This window comes from Homo sapiens, chromosome 4 (genome assembly GCF_000001405.40).
Source record: "Homo sapiens chromosome 4, GRCh38.p14 Primary Assembly".
Taxonomy (NCBI): Eukaryota; Metazoa; Chordata; class Mammalia; order Primates; family Hominidae; genus Homo; species Homo sapiens.
This window is the reverse complement of record NC_000004.12, coordinates 61634212-61649877: the sequence shown is the minus strand read 5'-3', so window position 1 is coordinate 61649877 and position 15666 is coordinate 61634212. Positions and strand designations below refer to the sequence as shown.

Here is a 15666-nt window from a genome sequence, read left to right as displayed (position 1 = left end):
CAAAGTGGGTTGTTACTCAAGTCCATATTATACACACACATTTTTGCAGGTCAATATTTTGTAGAGGTAATAACTGATACAGAAAATGTACCATGTCTGTTGGTTCTGGTTCTTATTATGCTGACTAGTTGAACAATATTAAGACTGACACACTTATTTTACTACCTATAAAAAAGAGACTGGAGTCTCTCTAAACATTCATTTTAAACAAACAAGGATGCAAAATGATAAGACATCCAATTATTAAATTTAGCCCAGAGGAGGTTTTGTGTTTTGCTACGTGTTATAAAAGTATCAATTAGCAAAATAAAGACAATGATAAAAGGCTAAACTCTTCTACAAAATACATAAACTGTAAATCCAGCAAAAGAAGTAAAGAATCTCCAGAAAATAAATAAAATACAAAAGAGCAAAGTTCCACCTACAAATCTATGGAGGACTGAAGGTATACAAGCAATAGGCGAACAGGTTCTGAGAATTAAAAAAGACCTACAACCTTAAACCTTTAATATGGTAAATTTAGATGTTGCTGCTATTAAGAATGAATTAATTATAAACCTACATCTTATTAATATAATACCAAATCCTAGAGGCATACATATCTGGTTATCATACTATCTTAAAAATTTATAAACTTGATTTTTTTAAATTGGCAAATAAGCGATGTTACATCCATATGTAACTACTAAGAGGAATGGCGTGCTAGTAAACTATATTTACTAGCATGCATTTCCAAAATACATTTTAACTGCAAATATCTAGTTACAGATCAGTAGATAAAGATCTTATTTTCTTATATATAGTAAATATAAGTGGCATTAAAACATGACTGTTAAAAGTGGTTACTTTTAGGAATTAGATTTGGGGTTGCTGGGAAACATAATTTAAAGAAAAACTTAAAAGTAAGAAAGATAGTATAGAAAATACTGAAAAGGAATAACTTCAAAGTCATGGAAAACTGTGTTCTTATCATGTCCCTAACAATTTTAAATTATAAAACTATATATAAGAATGACCACATCCATTAGGCCTCAATTTCTTCATCAATAAAATCGGAACAATATCCAGATGAGTAGTTTAGATGAGAAGTAATTGAAATGATATATGTAAGGTGCTTAACAGTGTCTGGCACACAGCAGCTACTAAAAGAATGCCAGTTCTCTCATTTTTCTGCCTGTTCATTAGTGAAAGGCAATGATGTTTTATATTCTAGACTGTTCTTTCTCCTCTAGTTAGAGAATAGAAGCATAGCTTATTAAAAATTTAGTTTCACAAACTTAAAAAGAGGATTACTCAGCACAGAAAAAGACTATTAAAATCTAAAAAAAACCCCAAAAGAAACAGAAAAAAAAACAAAAAAATTCCTAATGCAAATTAATCTGTGACTGATATGAATGACAAAAGAGATAAATCCTGGACTTGATTAACTTACTGACCTGGAAAGGAATGTTTCTCATTTCAACACAGCCTAGCAGAAAAATCACTCATTGAGGGTTGTCTTCAAATTAAAAAAAAAAAAAAAAAAAAAGCCGATTTCATTTCCTAACTCTTAAAAGCTACTCACTAGAATCCTGGATTAAGTATAAAAGATTTCTTCTTTTACATATTTTATTTCCATTCTATTTTTTTAAGGTGGTATAAGATCTGGAATACTTAGAGTCAAATAGCATACAGCTTATTCCAGGAGTATAAAGGGTGTGCACAGTGTCTTCTATCCCTTCACCTAGCTTTGGTACAGCTGATTAGCACATATGGAATTGAAATAATAACAGCCATTATTTAAATACATGTCAGTTCAGTGGAATCTCTCTGAAAGAATTATTATGAGAAATAAAAGGAAATGGAACATACACATTTTATAAGAATATGTTGTGTGTGTGGTTATAGGTAAAACGTCTTCCCACAGAATAGGAAAATTATGGATCATAAAAATTTACTTGAAGATTATTTTGCTTTGGAGAAAGTTTACAATCTTCCTTTTAAATATAGTAATATCCAATATCTGAGAGGCCATGAAAGAAAGAAAACTTACAGTGGAAAACTGGTGGAAATAAAATAAAGGGCTATTAATAAATGCATGTTTTCTATTTATATAATTTCTTATACAATTTTTTACTCCTATACAATAAAAAGTGAATTTCAGTGTGAAAAGTCTATTGTTAATTTTTGCATTCTTATTGATAATTTCAGTATATTACAATTACTGTATCAATGTAAAACACTGGAATATAAAATAAATTTATATCAGCTCTTATGCAGAATTTTATTTTTTAAATGATGTTCTCATAATCCTCTAAAAATCTGAATGGCACGCCTACCAGGAAAAGGCTAACGTCAAAAGAAAATACTTTTTCCCCCTCACGTACAAACCATCAATGAGACTTCAATGCAGCATAAAGTCACGATTTTATATTGTTGTCTACCAATGTGTGAAAAAACAGGTACTCAGATATGGGGACAAACCCTAGTTCTACTGTCTTTCTAAGATAATAAAACTCAATTAATTTTAATTTTTTCGTCTGTAAATTCAAAGTGATGAAACCAAAGTTTTTAGGCAATTTTAAAAGTTAAATCGGGGAGGAGCCAAGATGGCCGAATAGGAAAAGCTCTGGTCTACAGCTCCCAGCGTGAGCCACGCAGAAGACGGGTGATTTCTGCATTTCCATCTGAGGTACCGGGTTCATCTCACTAGGGAGTGCCAGACAGTGGGCGCAGGCCAGTGGGTGCAGTGCACCGCGCAGGAGCTGAAGCAGGGCGAGGCATTGCCTCACTCGGGAAGCACAAGGGGTCAGGGAGTTCCCTTTCCTAGTCAAAGAAAGGGGTGATGGACGGCACCTGGAAAATCGAGTGACTCCCACCCGAAGACTGCGCTTTTCCTACCGGCTTAAAAAACGGCGCACCAGGAGATTATATCCGCACCTGGCTCGGAGGGTCCTACGCCCACGGAGTCTCGCTGATTGCTAGCACAGCAGTCTAAGATCAAACTGCAATTCGGCAGCCAGGCTGGGGGAGGGGCGCCCGCCATTGCCCAGGCTTGATTAGGTAAACAAAGCAGCTGGGAAGCTCAAACTGGGTGGAGCCCACCACAGCTCAAGGAGGCCTGCCTGCCTCTGTAGGCTCCACCTCTGGGGGCAGGGCACAGACAAACAAAAAGACAGCAGTAACCTCTGCAGACTTAAGTGTCCCTGTCTGACAGCTTTGAAGAGGGCAGTGGTTCTCCCAGCACGCAGCTGGAGATCTGAGAACGGGCAGACTGCCTCCTCAAGTGGGTCCCTGACCCCTGACCCCCGAACAGCCTAACTGGGAGGCACCCCTCAGTACGGGCAGACTGACACCTCACAGGGCCCAGTACTCCAACAGACCTGCAGCTGAGGGTCCTGTCTGTTAGATAACAAACAGAAAGGACATCCACACCAAAAACCCATCTGTACATCACCATCATCAAAGACCAAAAGTAGATAAAACCACAAAGATGGGGAAAAAACAGAGCAGAAAAACTGGAAACTCTAAAAAGCAGAGTGCCTCTCCTCCTCCAAAGGAACGCAGTTCCTCACCAGCAACGAAACAAAGCTGGATGGAGAATGACTTTGACGAGCTGAGAGAAGAAGGCTTCAGACGATCAAATTACTCCGAGCTAGGGGAGGACATTCAAACCAAAGGCAAAGAAGTTGAAAACTTTGAAAAAAATTTAGAAGAATGTATAACTAGAATAACCAATACAGAGAAGTGCTTAAAGGAGCTGATGGAGCTGAAAACCAAGGCTCGAGAACTACGTAAAGAATGCAGAGGCCTCAGGAGCCGATGCCATCAACTGGAGAAAGGGTATCAGCGATGGAAGATGAAATGAATGAAATGAAGCGAGAAGGGAAGTTTAGAGAAAAAAGAATAAAAAGAAACGAGCAAAGCCTCCAAGAAATATGGGACTATGTGAAAAAACCAAATCCATGTCTGATTGGTGTACCTGAAAGTGATGGGGAGAATGGAACCAAGTTGGAAAACACTCTGCAGGATATTATCCAGGAGAACTTCCCCATTCTAGCAACGCAGGCCAACATTAAGACTCAGGAAATACAGAGAACGCCACAAAGATATTCCTCAAGAAGAGCAACTCCAAGACACATAATTGTCAGATTCACCAAAGTTGAAATGAAGGAAAAAATGTTAAGGGCAGCCAGAGAGAAAGGTCGGGTTACCCTCAAAGGGAAGCCCATCAGACTAACAGTGGATCTCTCGGCAGAAACTCTACAAGCCAGAAGAGAGTGGGGGACAATATTCAACATTGTTAAAGAAAAGAATTTTCAACCCAGAATTTCATATCCAGCCAAACTAAGCTTCATAAGTGAAGGAGAAATAAAATACTTTACAGATAAGCAAATGCTGAGAGATTTTGTCACCACCAGGCCTGCCCTAAAAGAGCTCCTGAAGGAAGCGCTAAACATGGAAAGGAACAACCGGTACCAGCCGCTGCAAAATCATGCCAAAATGTAAAGACCATCGAGACTAGGAAGAAACTGCATCAACTAACGAGCAAAATCACCAGCTAACATCATAATGACAGGATCAAATTCACACATAACAATATTAACTTTAAATGTAAATAGACTAAATGCTCCAATTAAAAGACACAGACTGGCAAATTGGATAAAGAGCCAAGACCCATCAGTGTGCTGTATTCAGAAAACCCATCTCATGTGCAGAGATACACATAGGCTCAAAATAAAAACATGGAGGAAGATCTACCAAAAAAAATGGAAAACAAAAAAAGGCAGGGGTTGCAATCCTAGTCTCTGATAAAACAGACTTTAAACCAACAAAGATCAAAAGAGACAAAGAAGGCCATTACATAATGGTAAAGGATCAATTCAACAAGAAGAGCTAACTATCCTAAATATATATGCACCCAATACAGGAGCACCCAGATTCATAAAGCAAGTCCTGAGTGACCTACAAAGAGACTTAGACTCCCACACATTAATAATGGGAGACTTTAACACCCCACTGTCAACATTAGACAGATCAACGAGACAGAAAGTCAACAAGGATACCCAGGAATTGAACTCAGCTCTATACCAAGCGGACATAATAGACATCTCCAGAACTCTCCACCCCAAATCAACAGAATATACATTTTTTCAGCACCAAACCACACCTATTCCATAATTGACCACATACTTGGAAGTAAAGCTCTTCTCAGCAAATGTAAAAGAACAGAAATTATAACAAACTATCTCTGAGACCACAGTGCAATCAAACTACAACTCAGGATTAAGAATCTCACGCAAAACCGCTCAACTACATGGAAACTGAACAAGCTGCTCCTGAATGACTACTGGGTACATAAAGAAATGAAGGCAGAAATAAAGATGTTCTTTGAAACCAAAGAGAAGACACAACATACCAGAATCTCTGGGACGCATTCAAAGCAGTGTGTATAGGGAAATTTATAGCGCTAAATGCCCACAAGAGAAAGCAGGAAAGATCTAAAATTGACACCCTAACATCACAATTAAAAGAACTAGAAAAGCAAGAGCAAACACATTCAAAAGCTAGCAGGAGGCAAGAAATAACTAAAATCAGAGCAGAACTGAAGGAAATAGAGACACAAAAAACCCTTCAAAAAATTAATGAATCCAGGAGCTGGTTTTTTGAAAGGTTCAACAAAATTGATAGACCGCTAGCAAGACTAATAAAGAAAAAAAGAGAGAAGAATCAAATAGACACAATAAAAAATGATAAAGGGGATATCACCACCGATCCCACAGAAATACAAACTACCATCAGAGAATACTACAAACACCTCTACGCAAATAAACTAGAAAATCTAGAAGAAATGGATACATTCCTCGACACATACACTCTCCCAAGACTAAACCAGGAAGAAGTTGAATCTCTGAATAGACCAATAACAGGATCTGAAATTGTGGCAATAATCAATAGCTTACCAACCAAAAAGAGTCCAGGACCAGATGGATTCACAGCCGAATTCTACCAGAGGTAAAAGGAGGAACTGGTACCATGCCTTCTGAAACTATTCCAATCAATAGAAAAAGAGGGAATCCTCCCTAACTCATTTTATGAGGCCAGCATCATCCTGATACCAAAGCCGGGCAGAGACACAACCAAAAAAGAGAATTTTAGACCAATATCCTTGATGAACATTGATGCAAAAATCCTCAATAAAATACTGGCAAACCGAATCCAGCAGCACATCAAAAAGCTTATCCACCATGATCAAGTGGGCTTCATCCCTGGGATGCAAGGCTGGTTCAATATACGCAAATCAATAAATGTAATCCAGCATATAAACAGAACCAAAGACAAAAACCACATGATTATCTCAATAGATGCAAAAAAGTCCTTTGACAAAATTCAACAACCCTTCATGCTAAAAACTCTCAATAAATTAGGTATTGATGGGACGTATTTCAAAATAATAAGAGCTATCTATGAAAAACCCACAGCCAATATCATACTGAATGGGCAAAAACTGGAAGCATTCCCTTTGAAAACTGGCACAAGACAGGGATGCCCTCTCTCACCACTCCTACTCAACATAGTGTTGGAAGTTCTGGCCAGGGCAATTAGGCAGGAGAAGGAAATAAAGGGTATTCAATTAGGAAAAGAGGAAGTCAAATTGTCCCTGTTTGCAGACAACATGATTGTATATCTAGAAAACCCCATTGTCTCAGCCCAAAATCTCCTTAAGCTGATAAGCAACTTCAGCAAAGTCTCAGGATACAAAATCAATGAACAAAAATCACAAGCATTCTTATACACCAATAACAGACAAACAGAGAGCCAAATCATGAGTGATCTCCCATTCACAATTGCTTCAAAGAGAATAAAATACCTAGGAATCCAACTTACAAGGGACGTGAAGGACCTCTTCAAGGAGAACTATAAAGCACTGCTCAAGGAAATAAAAGAGGATACAAACAAATGGAAGAAGATTCCATGCTCATGGGTAGGAAGAATCAATATCGTGAAAATGGCCATACTGCCTAAGGTAATTTACAGATTCAATGCCATCCCCATCAAGCTACCAATGACTTTCTTCACAGAATTGGAAAAAACTACTTTAAAGTTCATATGGAACCAAAAAAGAGCCCACATCGCCATGTCAATCCTAAGCCAAAAGAACAAAGCTGGAGGCATCACACTACCTGACTTCAAACTATACTACAAGGCTACAGTAACCAAAACAGCATGGTACTGGTACCAAAATAGAGATATAGATCAATGGAACAGAACAGAGCCCTCAGAAATAACGCCGCATATCTACAACTATCTGATATTTGACGAACCTGACAAAAACAAGCAATGGGGAAAGGATTCCCTATTTAATAAATGGTGCTGGGAAAACTGGCTAGCCACATGTAGAAAGCTGAAACTGGATCCCTTCCTTACACCTTATACAAAAATCAATTCAAGATGGATTAAAGACTTAAACCTTGGACCTAAAACCATAAAAACCCTAGAAGAAAACCTAGGCATTACCATTCAGGACATAGGCATGGGCAAGGACTTCATGTCTAAAACACCAAAAGCAATGGCAACCAAAGCCAGAATTGACAAATGGGATCTAATTAAAGTAAAGAGCTTCTGCACAGCAAAAGAAACTGCCATCAGAGTGAACAGGCAACCTACAAAATGGGAGAAAATTTTCGCAACCTACTCATCTGACAAAGGGCTAATATCCAGAATCTACAATGAACTCAAACAAATTTACAAGAAAAAAACAAACAACCCCATCAAAAAGTGGGCAAAGGACATGAACAGACACTTCTCAAAAGAAGACATTTATGCAGCCAAAAAACACATGAAAAAATGCTCATCATCACTGGCCATCAGAGAAATGCAAATCAAAACCACAATGAGATACCATCTCACACCAGCTAGAATGGCAATCATTAAAAAGTCAGGAAACAACAGGTGCTGGAGAGGATGTGGAGAAACAGGAACACTTTTACACTGTTGGTGGGACTGTAAACTAGTTCAACCATTGTGGAAGTCAGTGTGGCGATTCCTCAGGGACCTAGAACTAGAAATACCATTTGTCCCAGCCATCCCATTACTGGGTATATACCCGAAGGACTATAAATCATGCTGCTATAAAGACACATGCACACGTATGTTTATTGTGGCATTATTCACAATAGCAAAGACTTGGAACCAACCCAAATGTCCAACAGTGATAGACTGGATTAAGAAAATGTGGCACATATACACCATGGAATACTATGCAGCCATAAAAATTGATGAGTTCATGTCCTTTGTAGGGACATGGATGAAATTGGAAATCGTCATTCTCAGTAAACTATCGCAAGAACAAAAAACCAAACACTGCATATTCTCACTCATAGGTGGGAATTGAACAATGAGAACACATGGACACAGGAAGGGGAACATCACACTCTGAGGACTGTTGTGGGGTGGGGGGAGGGGGGAGGGATAGCATTGGGAGATATACCTAACGCTAGAGGAGGAGTTAGTGGGTGCAGCGCACCAGCATGGCACATGTATACATATGTAACTAACCTGCACATTTACCCCAAAACTTAAAGTACAATAATAATAAATAAAAAATAAATAAATAAAACGAAAAAAAAATAGGATTTATTTTTATTTACTACATAACAAGCACTGTGCCAAGTAGGCATCACATCATGTAATCATGAAAAATTAATCATCAAAATAGCCGTGTGAGGTTGGTATTATTATTCTTATTCCTATTTTTAAATTAAAAAAATAGGTGAAATAAGGTTAGCAGGAACTTTATTTGAAGCCAAATTTATCTGACTCTATCCTTTAATGACCACAGCATTCTGTGTTCTTTTCAATTTCAATATTACTTAGGAAATATAAACTGTTTAAGTGGAAACAATATATAGTGATCAAAAATATATTTTGAAAGAGCTTACAAAAAACTTTGAAAAATGTATTGTTGAATCCAACAAACTGAGTATTAGAAGAATATTAAGCAGAACCTTGTTCTCTCAAATTCTGGTTAATTCACAAAGGACAATAAACTTATTATAGACAAAGTACTTTTGTCAAAAGAACAAAACAAAAGAGCCCATCCAAGCAGCACTCAAGAATGACAATGAGATCTGCTGACTACCATATGTAAGAAACTAAATATTGTCTCATTGTCTTAGCACTGTCAGGTGGAAGTCAATAGAGTTTTCTTAATAAAAAGTGTTATATGCAAACAAAAATTCCTATTGATTGTCTAATATGTGTCACGTCCTGAACCAAGAACCACTGGCACATAAATGAACAAAACATAGTTCTCACCATCATAGAACTATTCCACAGAGAAGAGACGGATATGGATAAATAAATCAAAAGGCTTATGATAATGTGTCACAACTACAAGATCATATAGTGGGAAAATGGAGCAAAGAGGGTTTGCTCTCAAAATCCCACATAATGGAACTGTTGGTTCTAAACAGGCAACTGAAGCTAAATATGTAAACAGGGATCTTTGGGGCAACATGAACCTTTTTATTTAACACCATAGAGGGCAGATGTCTCTGGTGAATCTTGTCTGAGGGAGAACGATCTGTTCTGTAACTAATTCTCATAAAACACCTGTTACAAACCTGGTGTTTGTATTTAATTCCTTTTTTTGCATTTTTTTTTCTATTCAAAATGAAAACATACTCTATTATTTCCTCTTGCCATATTCCGCTTGTTGAACAGCTTTGATTAGTGGCAGCAGCATGATCTGATAACTTGGTCACAGCAGTTTAAATGATTCTAAGTAGTAAGGCTGCTGAAAGTAAAAGGAAGTGTTAACTATTCTGGCCACTTCTTGCAGAGGGAGGTAAGAATATTATACTCTTAACTGCTCCCCAGGTTCCAGCTGTCAGCAGGAAACTCAGAAGTAATTTATTCAGACAATTCTGTGCTCCTTTAATGAGTGTGGGTGCTAGTTAGCCTCTATGAAATATAGACAGTCTCAATTGTTTGTCCATGTAACTTGTAACGTGAAAGACTAAGTAGAAATCTAGATACTAAATTCATTAGAAAAGATGGCCAATATTAATTAGAATTTAATATGGGCTATATGATTGAAGTTGAAAAATTATACTTATGAACACATACTTCTGAAAGAGAAAAATGTGGATTCATTTTCCTTAATTTAACTCACTACTGAGACTACAATTTAAAAATCCTGTTTAATGAAATTTTATAACCTCTCTATTTCAGTATACAGTTGCTTCAGTAAAGTCTTCAGCAGAAAGTATTAATTGAGTTAAATAACTTCCCCTAATGAATCAGTATTATTTTGGATAATAAACCTATTTTCCAGAGAGATTTTAATTTATAGTCACCCTTTCCTATGTCTGCGAGTGTAACTGTTGAAATTTCCTTTCTATGTTAAAAGTATATAGTATAGGTTTTGATAACCAATTTCAGAACATGGCAGTAATAATGTTCAATCCTATTTTGGGAGATAGTTTTTTTCAAATTTTTCAAATTTTGTATATGATTATTTTATTTTTATAGGTATGGCATTTATTCATATACTACATTAAACATCATCCCAAACTCATATCTTACACCTAAGACACTTATAAAGACCAAAGGCCTCAAAAACTTTAGATCTTTTAATAATCATCACAATACACCTAACATTCATGAGGCAATAGGGGAATGGGGACTGGAAGACAAATATGGCTTAAAAATGGGTTTTCTATTTTAGCGTACAAAGGCACTTTGAATTGTCACTTCTTCCATTTCTAAATCTATTATACTCACATAGGAAATAACCTCACTATTGTCTTTGGTTTTCTGGCTTCTTTCAGTAACCAGGTTTTGTTGAGGGATGTGGGAGTACAGTCTGACTGGCTTAGGAAATGTGGTCAGCATAAAAGGCCACCAAGCCTTACACCACACAATGCTAAAAAAGAACTACTTCACATATATGAGACATGGGACCACTCAAATTAAGTGAAGAGGAAAGCAGGAGGAACTAAATTTACATATAATTGAGTTTTTAATAGAAGAAATTCACTGAAGTGAGTCAGAGCCAAAATATCATCATTTAAGATTTGCTTTAACCACTGATCACGTCACCAATTCTGGATAAACATATGAGCAACATTATGCCTCTACAGGGGAGGGATAATTATACTGAGCCTTTCCTGTTTAACTTAGAGTAATTTTGAAGCCTAAATAAAACACTATTTGTGTAGAATATTTTGTAAACTGGAACTCAGTGTATAAACATTACTGCTAAATATTTGTAGTAGTAGTAACATAACAGGAGATTAAATCATGGTGTACAGTGGTTAGTAAAGATAAACTGTACTATAATTTAAAAAGTGGACTGTATGCCAGAATAACTAAATGTTTCTTTTTTTATTGCAAATTACATACCAAAAACAAAGTGATTTTAAATGTATTTTGGTCAGTTTTGACAAATGCCTAGATTCATTTAACCCACACCACTATGAAGTTTAGGATATCTTACTACCCCAGTGTCTTCATACTCTCTTTCACTGAACCCCCACTCAACTGGCCCCCAAAAACAACTCATCTGATTTCTATGATCAAGAAATCATACAGTATTAAATTCAGGGTTCCTGGCTTCTTTCATTCAACATTATGTTTCTGAGAGTCATTCATTTTGTTGCATGCATCACTAGTTTGTCCCTTTCTATTGGTGAACAATCTTCTATTGTAGGAATATGCCAGTTTGTTTATCCATTCTCCTATGGATGAACATCTAAGCTACTCCCTGATTTTGACTATTATCAACAAAGCTACTATGAATATTCTTATACAAGTGTTTTTGTGGATGAAGGTTTTCATTTATCATAGATAAATACTTAGGATTCAAATTACAGGGCCATAAAGTTGATATGTATTAATTTTTAAGAGAAACTGACAGTTATTATCCAGTCTGTCTTTTAATTGGGATGTTTATATTCAATGCAATTATTGTAATGTTTGGATTTAGGTCTACTATCCAGGTATTTGAATTCATCTCAGACAATCTGTATTTTGTTTCTTTGTTCCTTCTTTTTGCCTTGTTTTGGAAACAGATAACTCTACTATTTTTAGTATTCCATTTTATCTTTCCTATTGACGTTTTTGGGGGGTGGGGGAACAGAGTTTCACTCTGTCACCCAGGCTGGAGTGCAGTGGCATGATCTTGGCTCACTGCAACTTCCACCTCCCGGGTTCAAGTGATTCTTGTGCCTCAGCCTCACGAGTAGCTGGAATTACAGGCGGGCCACCACGCCTGGATAATTTTTGTATTTTTGCATAGACGAGGTTTCACCATGTTTGCCAGGCTGGTCTCAAACTCCTAACCTCCAGTGATCTGCCCGCCTTAGCTTCTCAAAGTGCTGGGATTACAGGTGTAAGTCACCACGCCAGGCCTCTACTGACCTTTTACTTATGCCCATATTAGTTTCCTAGAGCTGCTGTAATGCAGTACCAAACAAGGTGGCTAAAACAACAGAAATTTATAATCTCTACTAGTTTCTGGTGATTTGCTGGCAATCTTTGGCATTGCTTGGCTTCTGCTGCATGAGCCCGGTCTCCGCTTTCATTTTCACATGGTTTTCTACCTATGTGTGTGTGCATGCCTGTGTTCAAATTTCCCCTATTTATTAAAAGGACACAAGTCATATTGGATTTGAAGTCCACTCTACTCTGATATGACCTTATCTTAACTAATTACATCTTTGGTGACCCTGTTTTCTAATAAGATCATGTTCTGAGGTACTGAGGGTTAGAAGTTGAACATATGCACAGTTCAACCTGTAACAGTGGCTCTCTGTGCTGGTCTTAGTTTTTGCTCATAATATTGTTATATGTACCTTTAATATATATCACAGTCTACTTTCAAAAAATAGTCCACTAGTTCATGACAAACCTAAGAACCTTATAATAGTATACCTTCAATTATCACCCTCCGATCCCTTGTGTTCTTACTGTTACGTTTTACTTTTATATATGCCATAAACACATTATATTGTTATTATTTTTCCTTAAGTCAGACAAATGTGTTTAACAAAACTAAAAATATATGTATATTTATTATATAAAAATATTTATGTATATACATCCTATATGTATTTGCCTATATATCTTCCTACATAAATATATATTCTTATGCACATACATATTATATTCCTATTTATATAAATGAAAATTTATTTATATTTATTTACATACGATTCTCTGAAATGTTCTTCAACTCAAAGATCACTACATACGTATCTGGTAACATTTCTTTTTAGCCTAAAAACATTTTAAAAGCATTTCTGTAGTATAAGGGCTTTAGAGAAAAATTTAGCTTTTTAAATTTTGGGAAGTATCTCCATTTCACCTTCTTTTTAAAAGATATTTTGGTGGAGTATTAATTCTAGGTTGACAGTTTTTTCTTTCAGAACTTCAAATATGTTATTCCATTATCTCCTGGCTTCCACTGCATCTGATGAGAAACTAGCCCACATGTTGTACACCATTTCAAATAAGCCCCTTCATATATTTATTATAGGAATTTTAAAATCCTTTACTGATAATTGCAACATTTGAGGTATGTCTACCTCTGATTCTATTGATTCTTTCCTTCTTTCTTGGCAAAGGATTATATTTTCCTGCTTTTTTGTGTATTGTAATTTTTTTAGTGAATGTGAGCATTGTGTATAAAAAATAAGGACTGAGGGAAGTAACATTCACACACAGCAAAAAGTATATCATTTGTTCAGACAGGTTGACAGTACAGTCCAATGAGTTAGTCTAGTGTGTAGTTTCGATAGGGGTTAGGAGGTGAATTGTATCCCCTTTTGCCCAAATTCATATGTTGAAGTCCTAACTCTCAGTTCCTCAGAACATGTCTCTGTTTGTAGATAAGGTCTTTTAAGAGGTAAAGTTAAATGAGGCCATTAAGATGTCAATAACTGAGACTTGTATATAGTGCAGCAGTGATACACAAATATGGTAGGTCCTGGTCCAATACAATTGGTGTCCTTTGAAGAAGAAATTAGGACACATATACACACAGAGGGAAAGACAATGTGAAGACACAAGGAGGAGATGGCAATCTTCAAGCCAAGGAAAGAGATTTCAGGAAAAAACATCCCTGTCATCAACTTGATCTTGGACTTCCAGCCTCCAAAATCATAAGAAAAAATTTTTATTTAAGCAACCCAGTCTGAGGTTCTTGGTTATGGCAGCCCTAGGAAACTCATACAATGGGTCTGAGCCTTGTTGTTTTAAGTAAATTCAGTTCACCATGGGCTTAAATTTTGAGGTCAAAATCAGAACCCTCTCTGTAGCAGGACTTAAGAGTCTCAGTGCCTAGAGCTATTTTTCTTAGTTCTTGTGTGCTGTCCTCGGATGCATGAGAGGTATACCTCAACTCTCTTTTGCCTGTCCCAACGGTATAGGGCCATTTCCTGGTACTTTTGAAAGGCCCAGAACACCTGTGGGATTTATCTCAGTTCTTATCTCTACCATCAATGCACTGCACTTGTGAGGTAGAAGACTTCTCTCTTAACTCTTCTCTCCCTCCCCGAATGGAAGATATGCATTGGGTCACTCAATGGAGAGTATCTGTGGGGCTTCTCTCAGTTCTCTCCATTGCTCTCAGGCTTTAGCACTCTGCAAGTGAAGTCTCAGCTCTTCTTTCTCCCCTCCTTCCCCAGCTTAAGGTCCAGTCTTGTGCATATGTACCTATGATGGGAAGGGGGATCTCAATTTTCCTTCCCCTTCTCCTGAGGTAAACTGTCTCTGCCACTTGCTCAGTGTAAGGCCCAGAATGCAAAGGCCCTTCTTTTAGTTCTCAGTGAGACTACAGTAGACTCAGTACGCCTGCTCCTTAAAAGATTTGCTTCTCAGTTTTCTTGCCCTCGCCTCAGTCTTTCTCATGAGTTCTCAGTGAAGATGAATGGAAAAGAGATGTGGAATAGGAAAAGGTTCCCCTTTGTAAATAGGGCTCTTGCAGATTTCAAATGAAAAATGTTCATTCCAAAAATTAAAGTCATTATATATCCTGTATATAGTAGGAGGGATCACATTTGGATTTTAATTCACTCAGTTACTTTCTCTTTGGACCTTATTCTTTGATGAGCTAAAATATTTTATTTTTTAGGTTATGCAGCTTACTTTTATCATTAAGCTGGGAAGGGCATTCACTTTTTATAACTTTCTACATCTTAAATAAAAACAGCAGCCCATCACATTTCTTTTTAATTACCCCTTCTCATCTCACCAATTGTTTATCTTCCTTTTCATTTCTTTTTTCTTCGGAGCTGTGTGTTTTGATGTTCTAGGGCTTGCATATAGTTTGAAGTTTTCATCTTATTTTTTTCATAGCTAACAATTTTCAAGTGTTTACTAAATAGACACACTGCATTAAATATCTCACACATATTATGCCATTTAATTTTCAGAGAAACACTACAAGAAAATCACTTTAATGATGGCCTCTTTGCATGTAAGAAAAATGAGTCTTCAGTAACTTGGACAAGGTCACAGAGCTTGCAATGGATGAATTTAAGCCACGGTACTCTGACTTTGTATGGAGCTGTTAAGTAGTACACTGTTTTTACTTCTCAGTATACTAACACTTGCTTCATTTTTGTGCCCTTAATGGATGTGAAATCATATGCTGACGACTGCTATAATTCAGGGGTGATT

At 36.8% G+C, this 15666-nt stretch overlaps 1 protein-coding gene across 59 annotated transcripts in view, besides 2 other annotated features; it reads right to left on the bottom strand.

The window, feature by feature from the left end:
* The window catches only part of ADGRL3 (adhesion G protein-coupled receptor L3), an 878010-nt gene that overhangs the window by 428458 nt on the left and 433886 nt on the right, over positions 1 to 15666 (bottom strand). The gene's annotated exons all lie outside the window — the stretch shown is intronic.
* Positions 2275 to 2889: an enhancer, noted in NCBI's record as "OCT4-NANOG-H3K27ac-H3K4me1 hESC enhancer chr4:62512707-62513321 (GRCh37/hg19 assembly coordinates)". NCBI's record gives its function as "activates a minimal SCP1, AML or CMV promoter by ChIP-STARR-seq in naive H9 embryonic stem cells {active_cell/tissue: H9 hESC(naive)}" and the evidence as "EXISTENCE:reporter gene assay evidence [ECO:0000049][PMID:30033119]".
* Positions 2890 to 3504: an enhancer, noted in NCBI's record as "OCT4-NANOG-H3K27ac-H3K4me1 hESC enhancer chr4:62512092-62512706 (GRCh37/hg19 assembly coordinates)". NCBI's record gives its function as "activates a minimal SCP1, AML or CMV promoter by ChIP-STARR-seq in naive H9 embryonic stem cells {active_cell/tissue: H9 hESC(naive)}" and the evidence as "EXISTENCE:reporter gene assay evidence [ECO:0000049][PMID:30033119]".